General features: G+C 38.4%; 1 pseudogene, besides 1 other annotated feature; it reads right to left on the bottom strand.

Annotated features, from left to right (window-relative positions):
• Positions 8,862-10,061: an enhancer, noted in NCBI's record as "P300/CBP strongly-dependent group 1 enhancer chr4:188665573-188666772 (GRCh37/hg19 assembly coordinates)". NCBI's record gives its function as "activates an origin of replication core promoter dependent on BRD2, BRD4, P300/CBP, MED14 and CDK7 cofactors, with strong dependence on P300/CBP, by STARR-seq in HCT116 cells {active_cell/tissue: HCT116}" and the evidence as "EXISTENCE:reporter gene assay evidence [ECO:0000049][PMID:35650434]".
• ADAM20P3 (ADAM metallopeptidase domain 20 pseudogene 3) lies at positions 10,577-12,648 on the bottom strand (annotated as a pseudogene).

Below are 13,381 nucleotides of genomic sequence, written 5' to 3' on the forward strand. Positions count from 1 at the left end.
ACTTGGGCTGCTCACTAGCCCTGTCTGGGTCTTAATGTCTTTGTCCTTAAAAGGGAATATATGGTGTTCATCTGCTGCCAGTAGTATCATATGTCATTAATCTTTTGGGTTCCCATATGGCTCTAGATATGATGCATTTTGATGTCCTATAAAATGGGACATGTTAAAAGTTATATATGAAAGCACAAATTACTAACATCAACAACGAAAGAGGGACCATTACTACAAACCCCATGGACACTAAAAGGATAGTAAAGGGATATTGTAAAAAATTCTATGCCCACAAATTTGATAACTTAGATGAAATGGACCAATTCTTTGAAAAATACAATCTACCAAAACTCACACAAGAAGAAATAAACAAGCTGAATAAGTTCAGAAATTGAATTAAATTACAAAAGAAATTGAATCAATAATTAATCATCTAAAACAGAAAACACCAGGTCCAGATGGATTTACTGGACAATTCTGCTAAACATTTAAGAAATAAATTTTACCAATTCTCTACAATCTCTTCTAGATGCCAAAAGCAGATGGAATACTTTCTCGCTTACTCTATAAAGGCAGCATTACTCTAATACCATACCAGACAGACCTTTGGAAATGTAAGAAAAGAAAATGTAAGAAAGTGCCAATATCTGTCATGAGCACAGCTGCTAAGGTCCTCAGTAAAATACTAGAAAATTTCATCCAGCAATGTATAAAAAGAATCATACACCACAGAAAATGGATTTATCCCAGGTACTCAAGGCTTGCTTAACATTTGCAAACCAATCAGTGTATTCCATCACAATCAACAGGCCAAAGAAATAAAAATCACATGAACATATCAATAGATACAGAAAACACATTTGACAAGGTCCAACACAAATTTATAATGAAAATCTCTCAGTAAACTAGAATAGATAAAGAATTTCTTCAACTTTATAAAGAATATCTACAAAAAAAAACTACAGCTAACAACACTTAATGGTGAGAAACCCAAAGCTTTTCCGAAAATATTGAAAATAAGGAAACAAGGCAAGGATGTATGCTCTTACTACTGCTTTTCAATATTTTACTAGAAGTCTTTGCTCATGTAATAAGGCAAAAAAAAAGAAAAAAAGAAAAAAAGAAAATGTGTACAGATTGGGAAAGAAGAAATAAAACTGCCTTTGCAGATAATATGATTGTCTATGTAGAAAATCCAAAAAAAATGGACAAAAAAAATTCCTGGAACTAATAAGCAATTACAACAATATTGCAGAATACATGGTTAATATGCAAAAGTCAATGAACAAGTGGAATATAAACTTTAAAACAATAACATTTACATTAGCATCCTCAAGAAAGAAATACTTAGGCGTAAGTCTAACAATTTATATACAAGATCAATATGAGGAAAACTACAAAACTTTGATAAATGAAGTTAAAGAATAAATAAATACATACATCAATAAATAATTAGGGAAATATTCCATTTTCATAAATAGCCCCAATATTGTCAAGATGCCAGCTTATCTCAACTTGACCTATAGATTTAATATAATCCCAATCTAAATCCCAAGTAGTTTGGATATATCTATAAACTGATTCTAAAGGTTATATGGAGAGAGAAAAGAGCCAGAATAGTTAACAGATTATTGAAGGAGAAGAACAAGGTTGGACAGGCACTAGTCGACTACAACCTACTATAAATCTGCAGTAATCAATACAGTGTGATATTGGTGAAGGAGTAGTCAACTAGATCAGTGGAACAGAACAGAGAGACCAGAAATAGGTTCACATAAATATAGTCAAGTAATCTTTGACAAAGGAAACAGGCAATACGATGAAGAAAATATAGTCTTTTCAATAAATGGTGCTGGAACAACTGATCATCCATGTGCAAACAAATAAATAAATAAATCATGACACAGGCCATACACACTTCACAAAAATTAACTCAGTGTGGATTATAGACATGAATGTAAACTGCAAAATTATAAAACTCCTACATATAACATAGAAAACAATCTAGATGATCCTGGGTTTGGTAATGACTTTTTAGGTGTAACACTAAGGGTGCAATACATGAAAAAAAGAATTGATGAAGTGTCCCTTTGAGAAAGATGTTGTTTTTTAGTGTGCTTCAGCCATTTGAAAATAGCAAGATAGTGCATACAGATCAACTCTGTGAGCTTTAGTTAAAGAAGAAAAATGAGAATCCACTGGAATAATGAAAGACACTTCAGATCCCAGGGAGAAGAACGTTGGCAAACAGCCCCCTTGATGTTGTCCAGCTGATAAAAATGAGTGAAACCCCAGTATATGAGAGAGGTAGAGAGCCTCCCCCTGGCTCACCTTTCCACTGGGGAGCTGAGCAACCCAGGCCAAGGGAGGCCACATTATTTCTCTGAAGCCCTGGAGCTAACTTGAGGAGAGGCTTAGAGATGCTGTGAGGGAAAGACACTGAGGAAAGCTTCAGACATTTTCCCAAACCCAGGACTGAGAACAAGATACCATTTTTAATCCAGGAGCATACATGGTCAGCTATTCTTAGGTGATCTGGCAGCATGGTCATGCAGGCATTTAAGTTTCCGGCCAGATACTGGAACATTTGCTCTGGAGTAGGGTAGGGACTTCCACAACCAGAACTGTGGAAAGTTTGTCAGCAGTAGGCACTGGAATTATGCTTTCTCTCGTCTCAACCTTGGGGTAGGAAAAGAGCTGCCACAGCTGCAATATCTCTTGGGCAGCAAGACTTACAGCCAGGGCCAGCTTGGTGACCAGAAACTGGTCTCTGTGTGTGTCATTTCTGGATGCCCCAGACTGCTCTCCTGAGATCATGGTGTAGTGAAGCCCTCACTGCTCCATGCCCAGGCAGATTGCCAGGCATTCGGAGCACCCACTCACCTGGTTCAGCAACCTGAGCCCCCCACCCATAGTGTGCACCTTTCCTCTGCTACATGCCCAAACACATCTCCAGGTATCTGGAGCATCCACTTTTCTGGATTAGGAGTTTAAGCTGACTCTCACCCCTGTGCAGAGAACTTGAGGCCAAGGAGTTTTATCAGCTCCACACCTAGGCACACCTCTGGGTACTTGGTGGCCGCCCACTGGATTCTCCCTCAGTGTTGGTGCTTTTGTGTGCCGTTTGGGAATGTGCAGGTAGGGCCTGCCTGGTCTGGCACCACCCATCTGGCCACTAGCCCCCAGGGATGAGCAGGGAGCTCAAACCACTGTGCATTCCATGAATCAGTTCATTGTCTGAGGTGCCAGAGAGCTTCTGCAAGTAAAAAAGGATCAAGTATATGCCCAGCCTCATTGGCCACAGCCTGCTCTTACCTACGAGTACCATCTACTGGCTTGTAGGTTGAGCTACACGGTGCAACATAAAACCTAATTAAAGAACTGCACGGGGCTAGAGAAGCAAAAGCCAAAAGCATTCTTTAGCATCATACCTCTAGGAAGGCTGGGAAAAAGAAAGAGAATAAAATAATAAATTATTGTTATATAGAAAAAAATAAAAAGTAAAAATTCTACCCACACAAAAATAATTACAAAAAATTGTAAGTGCCGGTGTCTTCAAATAAGAAGAAGGAGAACAAAAATTGTGACGCCATAAAAAATCTGAATGTAGTGATACCACCAAAGGATTGCATTAGCTCTTCAGCAATGCTCCCTAACTAAAATAGAAACTCAGAAATGACAGAAAAAGAATTCAAAGCATGGATTGCAAAGGATCTCAACAAGATCCAAGACAAGGTTGAAAATTAACACAAAGAAACTTCTTAAACAATCCAGGAAATAAAAAAGATAAATATCTTTAAAAAAAAAACAGAGCTGCTGGAATTGAAAAAAAAATCACTTAAATTTCAAAATATAATTGAAAGCTTTATCAATAAGTTGGACCAAGCAGCAGAAAAAAGTTCAGAGCTTAAGACCAGTCTTTCTAACTAACCCAGTCAGACAAAAATAAAGAAAAAGTAATTTTTAATAAAGTCTTTGAGAAATATGGGATTATGTAATGCAACAAAACCTATGAATTATTGGCATGTCTGAGAGGGAAGGAGAAAAAGCAAATAACCTGGAAAACATATTTGAGGGAATAATCCAAGAAAATACCTCTAATCTTGCTAGAGAGGTCGATATCCTGATATGAGAAATCCAAGGAACACCTGCAAGATACTACATGAAACAAACATCACCAAGGCATATAGTCACCAGACTATCCAAAGTCAATGCAAAAGAAAAAATCTTAAAGACAGTTACAGAAAAAACTCTGATCACATACAAAGACAATGTCTTAAGGCTAAGAGGGGACTTCTTAGCGGAAACCTTACAAGTCAGGAGAGATTACAGGCCTATTTTCAGCATCCTTGAAGAAAATAAATTCCAACCAAGAATTTCATATGCTGCCAAACCAAGCTTTACAAGCAAAGGAAGAATAAAATACTTTCCAGACAAGCAAGCACTAAGGGAATTTGTTACCACTGGACCAGCCTTACAAGAGATTCTTAAGGGAGTTCTAAACATGGGAACAAAATAATAATACTTGCTACCACAAAACACACAGCACATAGCTCACAGACCCTATAAGTCAACCACACAATATAAACTACAAAGCAACCAATTAACAACTTCACAATAAAATCAAAACTTCACATATCACTCTTAACCTCAAATATGGATGGCCTAAATGCCCTACCTAAAAAGCACAGAGCAGCAAGTTGGATTTTAAATAAGACCCATAAGCCTTCTGTTTTCAACAGACCCACATCACATGTAATGACACCAATAGTTTCAAAGTAAAGGGCTGAAGAAAGACCAAATAAGCAAATGGAAAACAAACAAACAAAAAAGATCAGGGAGCGCTATTCTTATATCAGATAAAACAGACTTTAAACCAACAACAGTAAAATAGGGAAAACAAGGGCATTACATCATGATAAAGGATTCAATTCAACAAGAGGAGTTTAACAATCCTGCCCCCAGTATTGCAGCACCCAGAATTATGAAACAGGTACTTCTAGACACATAAAAGGACTTAGAAAGCCACACAATTGTAGTAGGGGACCTCAACACCCCACTGTCAGCATTAGACATATCATCAAGGCAGAAAACTAACAAAGAAATTCTGAACTTAAACTAAACACTTGATCAATTGGACCTAATAAACATCTACAGAAGATTCTACTCACCAATCACAGAATATATGATACATTCTTTTCACTTGCACATGAAACATACCCTTTTTTCACCACTGAGTATGATGTTAGCTATTGGCTTGTCATATAAGGCCTTTATTATGTTGAGATACATTCCATCTATACTTAATTTGTTAAGAGTTTTTATTATAAAAGGATGTTGAGTTTTGTCAAATGTCTTGTCTGCATCCATTGAGATAATCATATGATTTTTATCCTCCATCTGTTTATATGTTGTATCTACCTTTTTGATTTGCATATTTTGAATCATACTTGCATCCCAGGGAAAAATTACACTTGATCATGGTGTATGATCCTTTTAACACACTATTAAATTTGTTTTGCTAGTATTTTGTTAAGGATTTTTCACCCACATTTATCAGAGATATTGGCTTGTAATTTTTTTTTCTTGTAGTATCCTCTTCTGGCTTTGGTGTCAGACCAATGCTCATTGTAAAATGGGTTTGAAATTATTTTTTACTCTTCAATTTTTTAAAAAGAGTTTGAGAAGAATTGTTATTAATTTTACTTAAGTGTTTGATAGAGTTACCAGCAAAGCCATTGGATCCTGAGATTTTTGTGTCATTTTGGGGAGTTTTTCTATTACTGATTCAATCTCCTTACCTGTTATTGGGCTATTTAGGTTTTCTATTTCTATGTGTTTATCCTTTTCTTTACAGTCATCAATTTTTTGGTGTATAAATGCTCATAGAGGCCAGTTTTGATTCTTTGTATTTATCTGGAATCAATCGTAAAGTCTCCTCTTTCATTTTGAATCAAAATTCACAAATATGTAAAAATTAAACAATAAACTTTGGAACAACCACTAGGTCAAAGAAGAAGTAAAAGAAAATTAGGAAATATATTAAGACAAACCAAAATAAAAACCGCATACCCCAAACTTATGGGATGTGGCAAAAGGCATACAAAGCAGGGCATTCATAGCATTAAACATCTACATTAAAAAAAAAAAAAGATCCCCAAAAAACTCTAAATTTCCACCTTAAGGAACTAGAAAGACAAGAATAATTTAATCCGAAATTTAGCCAAAGGAAGGAAATAACAAAGGCTAGATGAGCCAAATATATAGAAAAATTTTTTAAATAGAAAAAAAGTAATAAAATGAAGCATTGTTTTTGAAAAGATAAAGAATATTTAAAAACTCTTAGTTAAACTAAGAAAAAAGTGAGAGAGATCTAAAATAAATAAAGCCAGAAATAGAGAAGAAGGCAATATATCAGCTGTTGATGATAAAAAAATTATAAGGGACTATTATGAATAATTGTACACAAATAAATTAGATATCAGAATAAATGGATAACTTGAAAGACACAACGTGCTAAGACTGAATCACGAAAAATTGGAAACTCTGAATATATCAATAACAAATAAGGAGACTTAATGAATAATAAAAAATCTTACATCAAAGAAAGGCCTAGGACCAATTAGCTTCACTGGTGAATTCTACCAAACACTTAATAATGAACACCTGTACTTCTCAAATGAAATACTTCCAAACTGACTTTATGAGGCCAGCATCACCCCAATACCAAAGCTACACAAAGCTACCACAAGGAAAGAGAACTATAGGCCAATATCTTTGATGAACTTAGGTGCCAAATCCTCAATAAAATACTAGCAATTTGAATTCATCAGTATATTAAAAGGATCATACACCCTGACAAAGTGTGAATTCTCCCTGAGATTCAGGGATGGTTCAACAGATGCAAATCAATCAACATTTACACCACATTAACAGAATAAAAGATAAAATTTGCATGATCATCTTCAAAGATACAGAAAATGACATCTGACAAAATTCAAGAGTATTTCCTGATAAAAAGTCTCAACATAATAAAAGTCATGTATGATAAGCTCACAGTTAACATTCTTGGTGATAGCAAATTGAAACTTTTTTCTCTAAGATCAGGAACAAGGCAAGGAGGTCCACCGTCATCACTACTATTCAACATAGTACTGGAAGTCCTAGCCAGAGCAATAAGATAAAAAGAAATGAAGGCCATTCAAACTGGAAAGCAAAAAGTCAAATTAACGCTTTTTCTTCAGAAGACATAACTATATGATCTACAGATATATGTGAAAAATCCTAACAATCCCACGAAAGTGTTAAAACTAAGAAGTGAATTTCTCACCGACTCAAGGGGACTAAGCACAATTTCTGAACAAATATAAGTTATTTAAAAGCAACGCTGAATATGTAGAAAGAGATGGAAATTATATCAAACAACCAAATGGAAATTTCTGAAGTGAAAAGTATAATTATCAAAATGAAACATTTCACAGAGAGGATAATAAAAAGATTTGAACTGGCAGAAGAAAGAATAAGCAAATTTAAGGCAGATTATTAAGAAAGATAGAATCTGAAGAAGAGAAAGAAAGAAAAGAAAAATTAAAGGTGCCTCTGGGAAATACGTGACCCACTCTGAACCAGTTGTTAAATCTTTCCTTCCTTTTAAAGCAATTGACAACAAACAGCTCGGACTATTCCTGCTATTCAAGTGTCATTTATTTTCTCCAGGACTCCCATATTAGGGATGTTAGACTTCTTATACTGTTCAGACACCTCATCCCTAAGTTTTAAGTTTGTCTTCTGTGTGCTTCAGTGTAGGAATCTTGCCCTTGACCTATTTTCCAGTTAAGCAATTCTGTAATCTGAACTGTCCAATCTACTGTTAAATGCATCTACTGAATTCTTAAATCATATTTAGTTCTGAAATATCCGTTTGAAAATTTCCAGCTTACGCAGGATATTTTACATTGTTTGATATACTGTGTGCATTTTTCCTTCTAATTTAAAGCATGGTAATTATAGTCATTTTAAAAATATTCTCCCCTATGTATGTGCTCCCCTGTCTGGATCATCTTGACACTACTTAGAGTGTCTCCTTCTGCTTCTTTCTTTTCCTTTTTTCATTCTCTGATAAGAGGTCATACTTGTTTTACTCATAACCTACATAGAAATGAGTTACTTTGTCAGGTAACTGATTACAAAGCAAGCACAGATGCTCCGGGTACCTCCATTGAAGATGTTCCCCTCTTTTTTCTGTTAGACTGGGGAGCCAATTAATTCCCTGAGTCAGTCATGAATTGAGCTAGGTCTGAAGTAAGTGAGTTTTCCATGTATCTTGGACTAATTCTCTCTCTCTCATGTTGCTGAGGTCTGGGCCTGCTAGACTTTCACTTGGGTATCTGTGTGGCTCTATTTCCTCAGCTCTGAAACAATATAAGGATTCATCTCTATTACACAAAGGTTCACAGCCCAGCTCTCCAGTCTCTTGCTACAAGCAAGCCCCAAATTAGGTAAGTGTCTTAACAGACAGACAATCCCTGTTTAACTATGCTTCGTGTCCAAAATATCACATCAGTTTAGGAAACTGTATCCTTTGATAACATTGAGGCTAGCTTATCAACATCCCACAAAGCCTTAACATTCATCATATGTGACCTGGGGAGAAATGATTCAGAATTGAAGGCTCCAGAACATCTGATCTGTGAATCTAGTCCTGAGTAGCAATGAAGAGGGTTGGTGGTTTCCCTTTCTCTCAGCACACGGTCTCTAACTAGGTCAAACGTAATCCTCAATTCACATCCAGCATCTGTAAGTGCTCCCAAAAAAATGAATGACTGCAATATTCAACTCATTTCAGAACTGTTTTCCATGCCTAAAGTTTTAGTTCATTAAGTACTTCTTGCTTGCACAACTTCTGATGCCCTTAAAATATGGTTTTTGGCCGGGCGCGGTGGCTCACGCCTGTAATCCCAGCACGTTGGGAGGCCGAGGCCGGCGGATCACGAGGTCAGGAGATCGAGACCATCCCGGCTAAAACGGTGAAACCCCATCTCTACTAAAAATACAAAAAATTAGCCGGGCGTGGTGGCGGGCGCCTGTAGTCCCAGCTACTCGGGAGGCTGAGGCAGGAGAATGGCGTGAACCCGGGAGGCGGAGCTTGCCGTGAGCCGAGATCGCGCCCCTGCAGTCCAGCCTGGGCGACAGAGCGAGACTCCGTCTCAAGAAAAAAAAAAAAAAATATGGTTTTTGAAGTTTAATTGGGATTTCTGGTGTTTTCCCAGAGAAAACATGGCTTTCTAAGACTTATTCTATCCTACATAGAATTCGTTCTTCTTTATCCTATTTTATTACCAAAATTACAGAGGGGTTGATTGGCAAGTGCTATTCTCTTTATCAGATTTTGAAAACAGTGTTTCTAAGTTTCAGTCTTTTCCCCAAGATGGGAAAAGGCAATGAGGAGAAAATTCCAACGCTTCCGATGTCTGCTTCCTTCCCGTGTTTTCCACCGTAGCAAGGTAAGGACTGCGTCACTTAGACTTCAATCACAAAATGAGAAACCACACCCTGGGCTAACCATGAGTCACTAACAGGAAGATGTAGCGATCACTACTAGGACTGGAGATCAAAGGGAAAGGAGTGGGGTTAATGGAACCCGCAAGCTTGGAATAGATCCCCTGGTTCCAGGACTTCAACCTCTTAGGAGAGGGTAGAGCCAACCTACCGCTGAAACCTCTGGAATTCGTAGAGGATCCAAAGACCCTCTGAGGCGACTAAGACCTCTGAAGGTAAGATGGATGTTTGATGGCTGTGCTGGTATCCCTGGGGCTGACAATGCTATTGGACCTGGGAGTTATGGAATATATGTAGGCAAAACGTGCAGGCACAAAGCTACTGCTGCTGCCAAGGCGGAAGCTGTGTGTTACTCAGGTAACATTGACATAAACAGCTATCAGACACTTCTGTCAGGTTTCCGGTCTCTCTAGTTCCCCCAACGGCAAATACTAACAGAGAGGATGGGCAAAGAGGAAATGGAGTGTGTAGGTTCCCGTTCTCCCTGTGACAAAGCGCAAGGATAAAGAGTAAAAAGGGGAAGGAGGCTTGGAATTGAAAGACAGCGAATTAAAACACACAGAACCCATTCGTGAGCTGTGTCTTTGCTCAAGAAACCCAAGTCTAATTTTATAACAAATAAAACACTAAAATTGCTTTAAAATAATGAAAAAGCAGGAATAAGCTGGCATTACCTTATTCAATAGCCAACATTTATGATTCTAAACTATAAAAGACCTTGGGGATTTCTGTCAGTGGTCTCAGGCATATGCAATAAAATTTCTCCTGACAGCACACACAAAATTAATACGTGAGAAATTTCATGAATGATTAAGCTTCTTTTCTGAAGTTTTAATTTGTTTTCAAGTTTTTTGTAGGTGAAGTTTGAACATTTTGCTTTTCTTTCTTAGGTGACATTTGAACATGTTGCTTTACTTTTTCAGGTAAAGTTTGAGCATTTGGCTCTTCTTTGTTTTTCTGTGCGTGATCAACAACAACATAAACAGAAAGCAAAGCAAAAGCAAAAAGGGAATCCATAAATATGGTGTTACACCCCTTGCTTGCACACCTCATTTTCTCCCTTTTTCCTGGGGGTGGTGGTGCCACTATCAACACTACCCTCAGTGCCTTCTCTCAGGCAGTCAGGAGGCTTCCACTCTCGGCAGCAATGGCAGTGATGTTTATTGTTGCAGACAGGTCTCATATTACAGGTCACGGGCAAACAGGTACTGTTCAAAAGTGACATAGTGACACATTTCCTGTGCATACAGACGTGTTCTGAACCACACTCGGTAGCATCTTTCACGTCACCAATATCAGGAGTGCTTATCCCCATTCGATAGCCGGTATCCCAGCAGGTGACACCAATGAAGTGAGTCCGGTGCAGAGTAGAATGATCTCTCAAAAGGGGGATTTCTTGCATGTTCTCACACTCAACTCTCCCACACAAGATATCTGTGACCTCACATCTTACCTATTTGGTGCCATTGAAACCACAGTGACCAAAATGATCACCTCGGATGTTCATATTACTGCAGCAACTCTGATTTGCACTGTTGGCTACCTGGCCAAAAATTTGTCTACACTGTTCATCACAGTTATTACATCTCTTTTCGTAGCAGTGGCCACTGCCCTTGCAGGGGATCCCGTCCTGCAAACACACATCTTCTGCACACTCATGCGAAGTCCCGTTGAACCACTCTGGAAGATCCCATTCGCTGGACTCTTGTCTGCACACTTCGACCGATGGCATGATCTGGCAGTTTTTGCAGCAAAGCCCCAAAACACAAGCAGCCCCAGGTTTGAAAGTGCAATTTGCAAAGCAACATGGCTCTTTTCACACGATGGTAAGTTTCCGCGGTCATACTCTTCTTCTACCGCACCATTCCCACAGCACCTCTGTGTCATGATTCTATCTCGATTTGGTGAAGCATGCATGCAGATCGTTGTTACAGTGGTTTGAAAAAATCTAGCATTAACTACAGTTGCTGAATCTTTTTGTGGAAGTTGCCGTTGGAAACATTATACACTTTTTTGCCCACAGGAACATGTTTTTGTATCATGAGTCATACCCAAATTATGACCAAGCTCAGGTGCTGCTACGAGTGCAAAAGATCCCACTCTGTTATGTCCAAAACTGTTAATTGCATAATTACTTTCTCTATAACATACTGTTCCAACATTGGCTAAGCCAAGAGTAATACCATAGGAGCGTTTTACAATAAGATGTGCAACATCATGAGGAATGCAAGAATTAAAGCTAGTTTGTTTCCATTTGCAAATTTCTTTCAGGCCAACACCTGCAGTGTCCATTGTAATGAAGTTTTCTTGAGTCCAGATCTCAAGTCCCACTACAGTGACAATTGGCACCCAGTGGAATATAAAATGCATCAGCTTTTTGATACAGCATGAGTACTTCCTCCTGCACATTTGAGGTATGACTTTCCAGATAAAGGAATCATTCATCATCTACCACTACTGCCAGTTCAACAAACAATTTATGGGTCCACCAGCCCTCAAAGCCACTTTGCATTAGAGTAGAAGGATCTTGAAACTTCAATTGTCTTGCTATTTCTTCCTCTATCAACCCACATCTCATGGGTGGGAATTGTGTCTCCTCATTGTCCATCTTATATATCAGATGTTCAAATGTGGCTGAAACCCTTTTGGGCTTGATTTCCTAAGCAGTGTCATTTATCTGTGGTATTCCTTGAAAGCCCCCCAAACAGCTGCTAAGAGCAACCAGGGATTCTGGGTCCCCTTCCACATAACTGTGATAGTAGCAGTCATCCTGGACAAAAGTTGGTCCTCAAAAATAGCACCCTGGTCTGAGTAGGTGAACACAGAGAAGGATTTGGATATCAAAAATATCAAAAGCTTATTGACCTTCATGTGGACAATGTACCTTTGGCTGCCAACTTGCAGGCCATAGGACAGCCAGCCTTGAGTGTCCGTGCCTCTGTCAGCACCAGTTATCCTCAGGGGTATCACCACTTCTGGGAGGCTTTGGTGTTGACAGAGCCCAATCTGGAGCCATCCAGAAAAGAACAGAAACACTCCCAGCCAGAGCAGCAGATGGATGAACCTCACATGGACCAGGGCCTCGCTCACTGCCCTCATGGAGCCACTGTGATGGAGCTATGGGTGAGAGCAAAGGAGGGGAGGCAGGAGGCACAGCTGGTCTGTCTCCTCCTCTGAGTTGCTTTTGTTTGATGTTGAGCTTAATGGTCTTTCTGCTGGCAGAGTCAGTCTATCAGAGCAGCACAGCTAAAAGATAAAGTGAAAAGAATGGCAGAGATGGGGTGGTGTGAGCAGAACAGAGTGGAAAAGAGAGAGCTGGGTGTGGGTAAAATGGAGTCATATTTGGCTCAGGACGTAACTCATTATACTGCATTGGATTTGCTTCTGCATATTGGCAAGGCAGAGTGAGACTGTGGGTGTAAAAAAGAATGACAGTTGGCTGCAGGTTGATAATTACTGAACCTAGATGAAGGACACATGGGTTCATTACACTGTTGTCTAAATACACGTATGTGTGTGAACATTTCTGCAACAAATACCTAAAACAGAAGAGTCTTAATGGAAAGGGGAACGTATATCTCATTTTGATGAGAGAACCTTGATTTATGCATATAGACTTGGAATAAGTGTAGATATTTCTTATCAATTTCAAATGATAAATTATTCAGTCACCTTACTCAGAAGAGAGACATAAAAATATTCACACATCTTACTTTCTTATCATGGTCCTCAATATATACTTCTCTGCAAAATATTACTTGTCCTATCTTCATCTAATACTGTCAAACTGCGTAGTGTCAAAATATCAATTATCCTTCAAAAACGTTAGCGT

The sequence above is a fragment of the Homo sapiens genome, chromosome 4, assembly GCF_000001405.40.
Source record: "Homo sapiens chromosome 4, GRCh38.p14 Primary Assembly".
Taxonomy (NCBI): domain Eukaryota; kingdom Metazoa; phylum Chordata; class Mammalia; order Primates; family Hominidae; genus Homo; species Homo sapiens.